The 14,454-nt window shown below is 55.8% G+C and overlaps 2 protein-coding genes and 1 pseudogene across 3 annotated transcripts in view, besides 3 other annotated features; 2 read left to right on the plus strand and 1 right to left on the minus strand.

The window, feature by feature from the left end:
- Window positions 1-14,368, plus strand: part of ZNF511-PRAP1 (ZNF511-PRAP1 readthrough) — a 43,770-nt gene extending 29,402 nt beyond the window's left edge. The window contains exons 6-9 of the mRNA NM_001396060.1: window positions 11,780-11,846; window positions 13,066-13,118; window positions 13,692-13,825; window positions 13,932-14,368. Coding sequence (NP_001382989.1) covers window positions 11,780-11,846; window positions 13,066-13,118; window positions 13,692-13,825; window positions 13,932-14,125 — 448 coding nt within the window. The 3' untranslated portion in view covers window positions 14,126-14,368. The remainder of the gene's footprint in view (window positions 1-11,779; window positions 11,847-13,065; window positions 13,119-13,691; window positions 13,826-13,931) is intronic.
- Window positions 5,960-6,675, minus strand: BANF1P2 (BANF1 pseudogene 2; annotated as a pseudogene).
- Window positions 8,424-9,083: an enhancer, noted in NCBI's record as "H3K27ac-H3K4me1 hESC enhancer chr10:135160243-135160902 (GRCh37/hg19 assembly coordinates)". NCBI's record gives its function as "activates a minimal SCP1, AML or CMV promoter by ChIP-STARR-seq in primed H9 embryonic stem cells {active_cell/tissue: H9 hESC(primed)}" and the evidence as "EXISTENCE:reporter gene assay evidence [ECO:0000049][PMID:30033119]".
- Window positions 9,058-14,368, plus strand: PRAP1 (proline rich acidic protein 1). Of its 2 annotated transcripts, none has more exons than NM_145202.5 (5): window positions 9,058-9,110; window positions 11,780-11,846; window positions 13,066-13,118; window positions 13,692-13,825; window positions 13,932-14,368. In NM_145202.5, exons 1-5 carry the CDS (start codon window positions 9,103-9,105, stop codon window positions 14,123-14,125), a joined length of 456 nt encoding a protein of 151 aa, NP_660203.3. In that variant the 5' UTR covers window positions 9,058-9,102; the 3' UTR covers window positions 14,126-14,368. The 2 variants fall into 2 exon arrangements, with proteins under 2 accessions (NP_660203.3, NP_001138673.1); NM_001145201.2 differs by having other exon boundaries at window positions 13,692-13,798.
- Window positions 9,084-9,743: an enhancer, noted in NCBI's record as "H3K27ac-H3K4me1 hESC enhancer chr10:135160903-135161562 (GRCh37/hg19 assembly coordinates)". NCBI's record gives its function as "activates a minimal SCP1, AML or CMV promoter by ChIP-STARR-seq in primed H9 embryonic stem cells {active_cell/tissue: H9 hESC(primed)}" and the evidence as "EXISTENCE:reporter gene assay evidence [ECO:0000049][PMID:30033119]".
- Window positions 9,744-10,403: an enhancer, noted in NCBI's record as "H3K4me1 hESC enhancer chr10:135161563-135162222 (GRCh37/hg19 assembly coordinates)". NCBI's record gives its function as "activates a minimal SCP1, AML or CMV promoter by ChIP-STARR-seq in primed H9 embryonic stem cells {active_cell/tissue: H9 hESC(primed)}" and the evidence as "EXISTENCE:reporter gene assay evidence [ECO:0000049][PMID:30033119]".
- Window positions 14,369-14,454: the final 86 nt, after the last annotated feature.

The raw sequence follows: 14,454 nt of genomic DNA on the forward strand, positions 1-14,454 counted from the left end.
CCCCAGAAACACACCAGACACACCCAAACACACTCACCTCAAACACATCCCTGACACACACACACCACACACCTGACATACACACACCTGACCCACACCCCAGACACACACCTGACACACACCCCAGAAATACACACCTCACACACCAGACACACCCAAACACACACCTCACACACGCCACACACCCCTCAGACAGACGCCTCACACACCAGCCATACACACATCACATACACCTCTCACACACACCCCCAACACACACCTCACACACACCTCACACACGCTCTTGACCCATACAGTTCACACACCAGACACACCCAAACACACACACCTCACACACCCAAGACACACCCACACACGCCCCAACACACACCTGACACCAGTCACCCAGGAAACACGCTTCACACACACCACACACCCAGACACACACCGCAAACACCACACAACGACACATACACCCAAACACCCCAGACACACATACCTCACATCAGACACCACATACCCAACACACCTCACATATACCCTAGACACACCAGAAACACACACCTACCAAACACACACACACCAGACACACCCCCTGCAGACCTGACACACCCACACCTGACACACACCTCACACACCAAAACACCCTAGACACACATCCCAAACACTGGACACACACCTCACACACACACACTAGACACACCCCCATACACACCTTACAGACACACCAGACACACGCCACACACACCTCACACCACACACCTGACACATACATGATACACACCCGACACACAGACACACCCTGGACTCATACCCCGGATGCGCACCACACACCCCCCCCAGACACACCTCACAAATGCACCCCACATACTGCTTACACACCAGACACACCTGACATGCACACCCCAAACACCTCACACATCCCAGACACACACAACTCACACACATGCCTGACACATACACCAGATACACACCCCAGACACACACATCCCATGCACACCTCACACATGCATCAGACACACACAACCCAGATACACACCTCACAAACGCACCACACACCCCCAGATCTACACACCTGACACAACCCTCACACACCTAACACACACCCTCACACACCTAACACACACACCTCACACAAACACTCCACATACCTCAGGCACACACACCCCAGACACACACATGCTCGAAACACGCACCTCCCATGCACATACACCCTCACACACCTCACGCACACACCAGCCACACATGCCTGACATATACTCGACACACACATCCCTTACACACTCCAGACACACACGCCTGACATACAACTCACACACACTTCACACATGCACACCTGACACATGTATCCCTGACCTGCACACACACCCTTCACACATACACCCTAGACACACCCTGGATCCACCCACTCTTGACACACACCCTAGACACTGACAACCCCACACACAAACCCTTGACACACACCCCAGACACCTCCAAACACCCCTCACACATATATCCCAGATGCACACACACCCCTACACACCTCAGGCACACACACTCCTGACACATGCACCCCATGCACCCTCCCACACAGGTGGCACACATTCCTCACACACACCTGACACACACCTGACTCAGACACACCTGTCACCCCAGCAGACACCTGACACACTCAAAACACCTCTCACACCTGACACACATCACGCAAACATTTCACTTACCTCACACACCTGACAGCCCTCACGCACACCTCACACACACCTGACATACACATGTGACACACACACATCTCACACATACACACCCTCACGCACACGCACACACGCTCGCCGCCTCACTGTGCAGGGGCAGGTGCCCTGGCCAGCTCAACCCTGGCTGCTCCTTGGTCTGGGGCCCCCCCCAGAGTCTCCAGGTGGACCTTGGGTGGATGCTCAGACTCCCCCGTCCCCTCCGCCTTTGTGCTGGGTCAGACCCAGCTGGGTTTGGCTCTCACTCACCCTGAGGATGGCCCTGGCGCCCGCATGGTGCCCAGCACACAGAAGGCGCTCCATAGGCATTTGCCTGAGTGCGGCTCCCAGCTGTGGGTGGTCAGCAATGACAGGAGCATGCGTTGGTGATGCCTTCGTTTTCATTGCTAAACCGTAACCCATTGTTCCCGCTGTTAACTCATGGACATGCCGCGTTTCATCCACGCTGAACGGTAACCCGTTGTTACTACTGTCTTTTTGTTTTGTTTTGTTTTGTTTTTTTGAGACGGAGTCTCGGTCTGTCGCCCAGGCTGGAGGGCAGTGGCGCAATCTTGGCTCACTGCAAGCCCTGCCTCCCGGGTTCGAGCCATTCTCCTGCCTCAGCCTCCCGAGTAGCTGGGACTACAGGCGCCCGCCACCAAGCCCGGCTAAATTATTTTTTGTATTTTTAGTAGAGACGGGGTTTCACCATGTTAGCCAGGATGGTCTCGATCTCCTGACCTCGTGATCCGCCTGCCTCGGCCTCCCAAAGTGCTGAGATTACAGGCGTGAGCCACTGCGCCCGACCTGTTTTGTTTTAGTTTAGTTTTGTTTTTTTAAGAGGAGTTTTGCTCTTGTTGCCCAGGCTGGAGGGCAATGGAACGTTCTCGGCTCACCGCAACCTCTGCCTCCGGGGTTCAAGCGATTCTCCTGCCTGAGCCTCCTGAGTAGCTGAGATTATAGGCGTGTGCCACCACGCCTAGCTAATTTTTGTATTTTTAGTAGAGACAGGGTTTCACCATATTGGCCAGGCTGGTCTCAAACTCCTGACCTCAGGTGATCCGCCTGCCTTGGCCTCCCAAAGTGCTGTGATTACAGGCGTGAGCCACCACGCCCGGCCATTATTGCTGTTAACCCATGGATTCTCCAGGTTTCATCCATTCATCCGTATGAACTGTTTCCAGTTTGTCAGCTGTTTATAATGTTGTGGTGAACATTCTTATCACAACCTTGGTGGACGTGTGCTTTTCTTTCTCTTGGGTAGTTACTGAAGAGTGGAATTGCCAAATTTGATGGAAAGTTGACATTTAACTTTGAAAGAAAATGCTAAAATGTGTTTTTCCAAAGTGGCCGTACCATGTGACATTCCCACCAGCAGTATAGGAGGGTTCCAGTTTCTCCACATCCTCACCACCTCTTGATTTTTTTTTTTTTTTGAGACAGTCTCCCTCTGGCCAGGCTGGAGTACAGTGGCACGATCTTGGCTCATTGCAACCTCCACCTCCCGGGTTCAAACGATTCTCCTGCCTCAGGCACCCAAGTAGCTGGGACTATAGGCTCATGCCACCACGCCTGGCTAATTTTTGTATTTTTAGTAAAGATGGGGTTTCACCATGTTGGCCAGGATGGTCTCAACCCGCCTCGGCCTCCTAAAGTGCTGGGATGACAGGCGTGAGCCACCGTGCCCAGCAACCAACTCTTGATCCTTGATTTTGTCTTTTTTATACTAGCCATCTGTCTTAGCTGAGGCTGCCATAACAAATTGCCAGAGACTGGGCAGCTTCAACAATGGAAATTCATGTTCTCACAGCGATGGAGGCTGACGTCTGAGACGGAGCTGTCGGCAGGGTTGGAGCTGTTGGCAGGGTTGGCTCCTCCTGAGGCTGCTCCCTGGGTTTGTGGGTGGCCACACCTCCCCGTGTCCTTACATGGTCTTCCCTTTGGCGTATCTGTGTGTTCTCATCTCTTCTTATAAGGACACCAGTCCTGTTGAATTAGGGTCCACCCTAATAACCTTGCTTTACCTTACTTACATCTTTAAAAACCCATCTCCAAATATCGTCATATTCTGAGGGGTTAGGACATCAATGTATGAATTTAGAGGGGACACAGCCCATAACACCGTCCTATAGGAGTGTAGCTGTGGCTTGAGTCCACGTCGCCCTAGTGACAAGTGGTGCTGAACATCTTCTCAGGGTGGAGTCACCATTTGTAAATCATCTATGGTGAAATGTCTGTGCAAATGTTTTGAATATTTTTCAGTTGGGTTGTTTGTCTTTTTATTGTTGAGTTGTAAGAGTTCTTTTTATATTCTGGGTATAAGTCCTTTTCTTTCTTTTTTTTAGTTTTATTATTATTTTTTTGAGATGGAGTCTCACTCTGTCAACCAGGCTGGAGTGCAGTGGTGCAGTCTCATCTCACTGCAACCTCCGCCTCCCGGGTTCAAGCGATTCTCCTGCCTCAGCCTCCCTAGTAGCTGGGACTATAGGCGCCTGCCACCACACCCAGCCAATTTTTGTATTCTTAGTAGAAACGGGGTTTCGCTATTTTGGCCAGGGTGGTCTCGAACTCCTGACCGCGAGTGATCCTCCCGCCTCGGCTTCCCAAAGCGCTGGAATTACAGGCGTGAGCCACTGCACCTGGCCCTTTATTTTTAATTTTTAAAAAGTTTTAATTATTATGGGTACATAATAGGTATATATATCCATGGGGTACACGGATGCCATATGTAATGATCAAACCAGGATAATTGGGGTATCCATAACCCCAAGATTGTATCATTTCTTTGTGCTAACATTCTAATTCCACTCTTTTTTGTTAATTTAAAATATACAACAGGCTAGTCACAGTGGCTCATGCCTGTGGTCCCAGCACTTTGGGAGGCCTGAGTGGGAGGATTGCTTGAGCCCAGGAGTTCGAGACGAGCCTGGGGACCTCGTCTCATTTTACTAAAGACTAGATGTTTTAGATAATATATTGCAAACATTTTGAGTTCTGATATTTTCTCCCAAGGGTTGTTGTTGCTGTTTTGTTGAAATCTGTGGACTTTGTTTCCCCTGTAGCACGTGGCCTGGTGTCTCCGCCCAGTTTTTTAAGCCTATCTTCCTTGAGTCACACTGGGTTGTGTGGTTGGAGGCTGTGCTCAGGCCGCGGGACCCACTCTGCTGGTGCCTCAAGGGTGGGCTGGGGGCCACGCTCTGTGTGGATGCAGTTTTTAAGGTGCCCGACCTTTACTTCCCACCGGCTGTCTCCCGTCTCCTGAGTGTGAATGCACAGACTTGTGTTGGGCCAGAGGAATGGGGAGGTCAGCTGGGACTGTGTGGGAACCTGGGGAGGCTCCCTGTGCCTTTCTCATTCCAGACCTGATCACCCCATTCAAGTTCGGGCTGGCCTGCCAATCACTGCTCATAATCCCCTTGGGGACCCCAGTTCCCTGAGCCACTGGCCTTCTGCTGCCTCCCCCGTGGAGCCACTCGGCCACTGAGGGGTGGGTGGGAGTGTAGCTGCCCAACAGGCTCATTCTGCTTGCTGCCCAGAGAGAGCCGATTTATCAGGGCAGAGAGAAACTGCAACACGGAAAGTTTAATTCACGCGGAGCCGGCTGAACGGGAGGCTGGAGCTTTATCACTACTCAAATTTTAAAGGATAATTTGGTGGGTAGGGGTTGGGAAGCAGGGAGTGCTGATCGGTTGGGTTGCAGATGAAATCACAGGGAGTCGAATCTGTCCTCTTGTGCTGAGTCACTTCCTGAGTGGGGGCCACAAGACCAGGTGAGCCAGTTCATGGATCTGGGTGGCACCAGCTGTTCCACCAAGTTCAGAGTCCGAAAAATGTCTCGAGCACCAATCTTAGGATTTACAATAGTGATGTTTTCCCTAAGAATAATTGGGGAGGCTTAGAATCTTGTGGCCTCCAGCTGCCTGACTCCTTTTTTTTTTTTTTTTTTTTTTTTTGAGACGGAGTCTCGCTCTGTCACCCAGGCTGGAGTGCAATGGCGTGATCTCTGCTCACTGCAAGCTCCGCCTCCCAGGTTCAGGCCATTCTCCTGCCTCAGCCTCCCGAATAGCTGGGACTACAGGCGCCTGCAACCACGTCCGGCTAATTTTTTGTATTTTTAGTAGAGACGGGGTTTCACCATGTTAGCCAGGATGGTCTTGATCTCCTGACCTCGTGATCCGCCTGCCTCGGCCTCCCAAAGTGCTGGGATTACAGGCGTGAGCCACCGCGCCCGGTCCTGCCTGACACCTAAAACATAATTTCTTTTTTATTTTTCATGAAAGCCACTGACTTTCTTGATCTAAAAAACTTTACAAGGACAGTGACTGTTCTGCCAAAAAAGGAGCCAAATAGTATCAAATGGACTGAAAGTGAGGGTGGAGGTGAGGGACGGGGCCAGGAATCCATTCAGGAAAGCTGGTAACTGTCACCAGGGAAAGTGAAAAAGGAAGGGGGAGACATGCAAGAGTGAGAGTCCAAAAAAGTTGAAATGGTTAGGGGAGAAAACTCCCAAAAGACCCAGAGTGCGTCAGACGTGAGTATGACAATAGCAATCTTCTCCTTTGTAGAGGACAGGGGAGGAGTCCCGACTCGGCTACAAACTCTGGGTGAGGGCTGGGGATTGAGAGCTTCCTGGAGAGCATCACAAGAAGGCATCGCATGCTCTCGAAGGCATCCGAAGTCCCGGGACTGCTTGGTGTTGGCACCACGAGTCCTTTGGCCATTCCCGGAACAGGTCTTCATCTTTCCTCAGCACCAGAAACTGGCCAAGGACAACATAGGCCTTGTCAAAGCCCCTTTCCTCCAGCTTCTTGCCCAGGACTTCACCAATCCTGGCCAGGCTCCCCACTAGCTTTTCCCCCATGGGCTCTGCCCTGAAGTCTCGGTGCTTTTGGGAGGTTGGCATCTTGATCAGGCTTAATCGGCAACTTCAGTTCCCGTAACGGTTCCTCCCGCCACCCGGCCGCTCCGGCCGATACCTCAAGCCACTAGAAGTTTCCTAAACCATAATTTCTAATCTTGTGACTAATTTGTTAGTTTTACAAAGGCAGTCTGGTCCCCAGGCAAGAAGGGGGTTTGTTCAGGAAGGGGCTGTTTTCATCTTTGTTTCAACATTAAACTATAAACTAAGATCCTCCCAAAGTTGGTGTGACCTACACCCAGGAATGAACAAGGACAGGTTGGAGGTTAGAAGCAAGGTGGAGTCGGTTAGGTCAGATTCACTATCAGGTTTTCGCAAAGGTGGTTTCAGGAGCAGCCCCAGGCAAGAAGGCCAGAGGAACATCTGTTCTCACCCAAGCCCAGCGGCTTCTTCGGGTGACCCCTCCTCAATAGCTCAGACGCTGTGGGTCACGTTGGAAATTCCTGAGTTGGCCTTTCTTGAGGGCCCTCACTCCACCCCCTTGGAAGCACGGCCTCCAATTGTGTCTGAACATGCAGCTTCGGGAGAACCATACCCTGCAGGCCGGCGGTCTCAGAGCCCCCAACAGTAGCTGCCCGCTGGGGGTTGTCGAGGAAAAGAGTGAAACCCTGTAAAATACTTGGAGAGTGATTCTGAGCCAAATATGAGTGACGGAAGGCCCATGATGCCGTCCCAGGAGATCCTGAGAACATGTGTGGCCCGAGAGGGTTGGGGTGCAGCTGGTTTGATACATGTTCGGGACACGAGACATCACTCAGTACGTGGGAGATGTACATGGGTTTGGTCCAGAAAGGCGGCGGGTGTCCAGGTCATTGGTGGATTCAGTAATTTTCCAATTGACAATTGGTCAAAAGAGTTAAGTTATTATCTAAAGACCTAGAATCAATAGAAGGGAAAGTCAGGGTTAAGATAAGGTGTTGTGGAGACCAAGTATATGCAGATAGAATCAATAAAAGGGACTATTTCTTGTCAGAGTCTGTTCTATTAGTCTTAAGGTCTCTGTTTTAATGTTAATGCTGGTCAGTTTTGCCTGAATTCCAAAAGGAGGCGGGTACAATGAGGCCTGTCTGACCCCCACTTCCCATTATGGCCTGAACTAGTTTTCAGGTTAACCGTGGAATGCCCTGGGCTTAGGGAGGGTCCATCAGTCGGGTGGGGTCAGGCGGAGATTGGAATTGTGTTTTTGTTTTACAGGGTGTGCCAGGGACGGCTAAAGAAGGTGGTCAGGGCCGGGCGCAGTGGCTCATGCCTGTAATCCCAGCACTTTGGGAGCCCGAGGCAGGCGGATCACTTAGGTCAGGAGTTCGAGACCAGCCTGGGCAACATGGCGAAACCTCGTTTCTATTAAATATACAAAAATTAGCTGGGCGTGTTGGTGCACACCTGTAGTCCCATCTACTCAGGAGGCTGAGGCGGGAGAATCACTGGAACCCAGGAGGCGGAGGTTGCAGTGAGCTGAGATCGCGCCACTGCACTCCAGCCTGGGTGACAGAGTGAGACTGTCTCAAAAAAAATAAAATAAAAAAGGCAATGAGGGCACTGGGCCCCGTGGAGCGGGCCCTGGCCACACAGCGTGCAAGACTCCTCAGGCTGGTGTGCCCAGTAAGGAAGGACAGGAGGGAGCGCCTGGAAGGGGTGGGGAAGGTGGTGGCGTTGGGGGTGAGGGTTCCACGGTGGTGGAGCTGAGCTGGTCCCGCCCTGCCGCAGGTGGTGGGCAGGGGCAGGTGTGACAGGCAGGTGGGCTGGGGCTGGATGGGGGATTTGTCACGCCCACCTGAGGAAGGAAGTGCTTCAGCTGAGCTGGGGACAGCTGCCCACGACACCCTTCCAAGTTGCCTTGGTTGTGAGCACGGTTCAGCCTTCATGACAAGCAGGTTTTTTTTTTTTGGTGTTGTTTTGTTTTGTTTTGTTTTTTGACTGAGTTTCGCTCTTTGTTGCCCAGGCTGGACTGCAGTGGCGCAATCTCGGCTCACTGCAACCTCCGCCTCCCAGGTTCAAGCAATTCTCCTGCCTCAGCCTCCTGAGTAGCTGGAATGACAGGAGCCCACCACCACGCCCACTTAATTTTTTTTATTTTTAGTAGAGACGGAGTTTCACTATGTTGGCCAGGCTGGTCTCAATCCCCTGACTTCAGGCAATCCACCTGCCTCAGCCTCCCAAAGTGCTGGGATTACAGGTGTGAGCCACCGCGCCCGGTCAACAAGCATGTTTTTAAAGGCAAATTTCTTCCTCAGTCGTGTGGCAGGCCCTGAGCAGGCAGCTGGGTGTCCCCGCTCAGATCCAGGCCCGAGTGGGCTGGGCGGCTGCAGAGCCAGTCACCTGAGCTACCCAGGGTGGGATCCCTGGCCCCGACCTCTGTCCTGACACGCCCCAAGCGGCAGCAACAAAGCCCCAATTGGCCTGGGCCTGGGCAGGAGGAGCTGGGCCGGGTGCCAGATACTGGGATCAGCCACTGCAGCTCCCTGAGCACTCTCTACAGAGACGCGGACCCCAGACATGAGGAGGTAATGCCACCATCCCTGAGCCCCAATCCCCACCCCACCCAAACCTGGAGGCCTGGCCCTTAGCCAGAGGGGGCCCAGCTGTGCTGCGCTCCAGGGGGCCTGGTTCAGGGGAGTGTGCGGGTGGGAGGGAGAAGGAGGGGCCCTCTGAGGGTCTGGGGTCTGCCACCAGGCTCTACCTCCTCTGTGGCCCCGAGTGCACTTGCCTCTTGGTTCCCCTGGCCTGGTGGAGAATCACCCAGGGACCCCCACCCGGAACAAGGAAAGGGGAGGTGCCAGGCTGAAACCAGCAGGCCTGTGACTGCCCAAAAGGAAGGGGGCTGGGGGAGGGGAGGGGCTGGGGCGCAGGAGCCAGGGGCTGCCCTGAGGTGGTGTCACCCTGGGAGCTGTGATCTGGAGCTCAGGGAAGCACCCGGGCTCCCGCTGGACCCTGGAATCAGAGGCTGCCTTCCTTCTGTGGGGGTGTCTGTCTTCCCCCTCCTTGTGTGGGGGACCCCTCTCCCCGCTCCTGTGGAGGTGCCCTCCTCCTCTTCCCCCTCCTCTAAGCCAGGGCCCTCCCTGCCCCTCCTCTCCTGGTGTTTCTCCCTTGTAGAGAGGTGGCTTCTGGGTAGCTTGGGGACCCTTTGGTGCCCAGAGCCGTTTGCCTGGAGAGGGGACCCACGGGGATCCCACAGCCAGGCTGCTTGGCAGTCACCACCGACCACCTTTCTAGGGGCTACCGTGACCCGAATCCCAGGCCCCCAGGCTGTGTGTCATGGGAGGTGGGCACCAGGGGTGGCCCAGGCAGCACGGCAGTGGGATTGGGGTCCAGTGCCCAGACAAGAGCCCCTGCCCAGCATCAGAACCAGCTGGGGGTCCTGAGGAGAAGCAGGGCCCCCGAACCAGACCAGACCAGGTCCCGGCCCCGGGCTGTCCGGGGCATCCCCCCTGCCCTTTGACCTCTCACCATGGCTGAGTCACCCAGAGAACGGGCAAAGGTCCCTGTGGAGCTGCAATCCAGGCCTGCAGGGTGTCCCAGACACTGATTCTTCTGCCTCAGCAGGAGTAGCTGCGATTACAGGTGTGTGCCACCACCCCCAGCTAAGTTTTGTTTTTTTTTTTTTGAGACAGAGTGTCTCGCTCTGTCGCCCAGGCTGGAGGGACTGCAGTGGCGCCATCTTGGCTCATTGAAACCTCCACCTCCCAGGTTCAAGTGATTCTCCTGCCTCAGCCTCCCAAGTAGCTGGGATTACAGGCACCTGCCACCACGCCTGGCTAATTTTTTTTTTTTTTTTTTTGTATTTTTAGTAGAGACAAGTTTTCACCATATTGGCCAGGCTGGTTTCGAATGCCTAACCTCAAGTGATCTGTTGCCTCAGCCTCCCAAAGTGCTGGGATTACAGGCGTGAGTCACCGTGCCCAGGCAGTTTCATATTTTTAGTAGAGACGGAGTTTTGCCATGTTGGCCAGGCTGGTCTCAAACTCCTGACCTCAGGTGATCTGCCCACCTCAGCCTCCCAAAGTGCTGGGATTATGGGTGTGAACCACTGCGCCTGCCCCAGACACCCTTGACTGCAGCCCTGCTGAGCCCTGTACAGACCCAGAGCCCCGCCCCACCCCAAGACCACCCCACCCTGACAGACGCAAGCCTCCCCCGCAGGGCCCTGAAGAGACAAGTCTGCACCACATCACACACGCACGCACACACAGACACACTCCCAAACCCTCACACTCTACACACCACACACGCATGCACACAGCACACACCCACCCCCAAACCCTTACGCTCCACCCCACACACAACATACATACACATCCAACACATACATGCACACACAGCACACACACACACCCAAGCCCACACACTCCACACCACACACAACATACACACACATCCACCACACACAAACACACATAACATACACACACAGCACACGCACCCCCGAACTCACACACTCCGCACCACACACAACATACACATGCACCACACACTGAAGCACACAGTGCACACACACCCGAACACGACACCACCCACAGCATACATGCACACCCACCATGCACATGGTCCACACCCACAAAACACACATGCACAGACAACATATGCACACCCCCCACCACATACACAAACACACACATCCCGTGTCCGAACTGACCTGACACCCTGCCTGCCTGCCTAATAGTGCTGCCATTCACCCCTGAGCCCCCCAGCCGTGGCCCCGCAGCTCTGGGACACAGCAGGTGCCCTGCCTGCAGCAGCGTGCAGCCTCAGGGCTCTGTGGGCGTGGGGCTGTGGGCCCTCGCTGCTCCATACCCACCCATACCCACACCCATGTGCAAGTGTGTTCATGTGTGTCCCCACGTGGAGGGCGGCACAGAGGCATGGCAGAACCTCTGGAGTTTCCAAGCCAACCACCAGTGCCTGCCACAGTGGGGTCTGCCCAGACTGTGAGGAGCAGAGTCTGGGGCTGGGGCTGTGGGCTCTGGCCTGAGGGGGGCTGGAGGCAGGTGGGCCTGGGGCTTCTCCCTGTTCTGTGCCTGCGTGTCTTGGCCCATGTGAGCACAGTCCAGTAAAACTACCTGCGCTCCCAAGGAGGAACCCAGCCCAGGCCTCCCAGCTGCCCATCAGGGTGCTGCCTGGAGTTCAGGGCGTCCCCTTCCCCTACCTCACACTTCCCTCTCTGGCCCCCCCTCAGGCTCCTCCTGGTCACCAGCCTGGTGGTTGTGCTGCTGTGGGAGGCAGGTGCAGTCCCAGCACCCAAGGTAGGTGTGAGCCCCTCCCATCTGGGCAGCAACTCCAGTTGTCACCTTCTGCCCCTACAGCAGGGGATGTGGACAAAGGGCCCCTCTTCTGGCTTCAAACCCCAAGCTGGCTTAGGGGAGAGAGGCATGGGTACGCTCATGACTCTTGATGCCTGTGCAGGCATGAGGAGGGGGCAGGCTTCCCTTCCCTGGGGTCAGATGGACAGGCCTCAAGACACCCAGGTGGTCCTAGGTGGATGATGTGGGTCCAGATGAGCCCACATGACCCCAGGTGGACGAGGTGGGTCCAGATGAGCCCCCGTGACCCCAGGTGGAGGAGGTGGGCCCGGATGACACCCACGTGGTCCCAAGTGGAACAGGTGATCCCAGATGAACCCATGTGACCCAGGTGGAGGAGGGCCCGGATGACACCCCTTGATACTCACCTGGGCCTTGAAGGCCAGAGGTGACTCCATGTGCTAGTGGCTCAGCTGCACTGTCTGTGCTGACAGTGGTGTCCTCAGCCGGGACTATGCCTGGGGACGGGCCCTGTTCCCTGGCCCATGTCAAGGCCACACAGTCTTGCACACCTGGGATGGATCGGGAGGAAGGAGGCCCACGCCTTCCTTGACTGGAGACGCAGGAGCATGGGCACAGCCCCCCCACGGTGCTGGTCCTCCCCTGGAGCCACTGGTCCTCCCCTGGGGTCACCTGCTTTGCTCTCCTGTCTGTCCTTTGCCCCACTGAGGATGGCTGGGCTCAGAGCAGCTGACAACTAAGGTTGGCTGGGCTCAGAGCAGCTGACAACTAAGGTTAGCTGGGCTCAGAGCGGCTGACCGCGTTCTCTCGGCACCAGCCAGGAAGGGGTGGTGCAGACACAGACCCAACCAGTCACTGCAGAAAACAGCCAGTGCATTGACGGCCAGGGTTGGGAGTGCTAGGTCAGGGATACGGTGCCAGGTTACATCCCAGTCCTGTGCTGCCCCAGACCCGGCCAGAATTCCAGGCCAGCTGGTCATCTGGGCACAGGCCGGCAACCTCAATCCCGGCTTGCAATCCCAACACCCGAGAGTGGCTTGCCCACTAGAGACGCTCGAGCTGTGCTGAGCTGGCCCTGCCCCCACCCCCTGCAGCCACCTCCACCCCATGCAGCCCCAGGTGGGCCTCGGAGCAACCTCTCCCCAGGTGTCCTCCACCCGCGTGGACTGTGGCCCAGCCCACACCTGTGACTCTCCCCCAGGTCCCTATCAAGATGCAAGTCAAACACTGGCCCTCAGAGCAGGACCCAGAGAAGTAAGTCCCCCCAACCCCACCTCCCCACCACCCATTCCCTGAAGCTACAGCCCGTTCTGCTGGGCCCTTCCTGAACCTGGAGAGCACGGGGCAGATGCAGAGAGGAGCCCTGTCCAGCAGCTTTTGGAAGGAGGGGGCACTCCAGCCTCATGGGCATCTGTCAACAGCGCCCCATGCAGGGAGAAGAGAGCACAGCCGGAGGGCTTGGGGCTCCACGGTGTCTCCCTACTCAGCTTCCCCACAGCCTCCAGGGCAGCTTGTGCTCCACGGCTGGTGGCTGTAGCTGGGGCGGCTCAGTCTTGGATCCTGAGGTTCCCCACATCCTTGCCCTTGGGACACTGCTCAACCAAGGCTCTGACCACTGCTCCCCACGCAGCCACCCAGGGACGTGGTGTGGAAGCCTGGCCGGGAGCACTGGGGGCCACTCATCACTGGCTCTTGAGAGAGAGGCTTGTCCTGGGGCTGCTGGTGGTGGGGCTGGAGTGGCTGCCCTGGGATGGTGGGCACCCTCCTGCGGGGGGTTCTGTCCACCTCCCCCACCTGCATGTGGACCTGACCAAACTGTGCCAGCAGGGCCTGGGGCGCCCGTGTGGTGGAGCCTCCGGAGAAGGACGACCAGCTGGTGGTGCTGTTCCCTGTCCAGAAGCCGAAACTCTTGACCACCGAGGAGAAGCCACGAGGTCAGGGCAGGGGCCCCATCCTTCCAGGTGGGCACAAGGTCACAGCAGCAGAGTCCGCTCGTGGGGTTGACTTGGACAGACCAAGGGTCTCGGGAAAGAAACTGAGACTATACCTTCATGTGCTTGTCCCTAGGCACCAAGGCCTGGATGGAGACCGAGGACACCCTGGGCCATGTCCTGAGTCCCGAGCCCGACCATGACAGCCTGTACCACCCTCCGCCTGAGGAGGACCAGGGCGAGGAGAGGCCCCGGTTGTGGGTGATGCCAAATCACCAGGTGCTCCTGGGACCGGAGGAAGACCAAGACCACATCTACCACCCCCAGTAGGGCTCCAGGGGCCATCACTGCCCCCGCCCTGTCCCAAGGCCCAGGCTGTTGGGACTGGGACCCTCCCTACCCTGCCCCAGCTAGACAAATAAACCCCAGCAGGCCGGGCGCGGTGGCTCACCTCTGTAATCCCAGCACTTTTAGAGGCCGAGGCAGGCGGATCACCTGAAATCAGGAGTTCCAGACCAGCCTGGGCAACATGGTGAAACCCCGTCTCTACTAAAAATACAAAAATTAGCCGGGTATGGTGCCGGGTGCCTGTAATCCCAGCTACTTGAGAGGCTGAGGCAGGAGAATCGCTTGAATCTGGGAGGCGGAGGTTGCATTGA

Source organism: Homo sapiens, chromosome 10 (assembly GCF_000001405.40).
Source record: "Homo sapiens chromosome 10, GRCh38.p14 Primary Assembly".
NCBI classification, from domain to species: domain Eukaryota; kingdom Metazoa; phylum Chordata; class Mammalia; order Primates; family Hominidae; genus Homo; species Homo sapiens.

What these genes read in the sequence shown, in the direction of transcription:
- PRAP1 (NM_145202.5), top strand. An exon ending in GTGCAGTCCCAGCACCCAAG is followed by an intron (nt 11,847 to 13,065) that starts GTAGGTGTGAGC and finishes ACTCTCCCCCAG; the next exon opens with GTCCCTATCAAGATGCAAGT. An exon ending in TCAGAGCAGGACCCAGAGAA is followed by an intron (nt 13,119 to 13,691) that starts GTAAGTCCCCCC and finishes CTGTGCCAGCAG; the next exon opens with GGCCTGGGGCGCCCGTGTGG.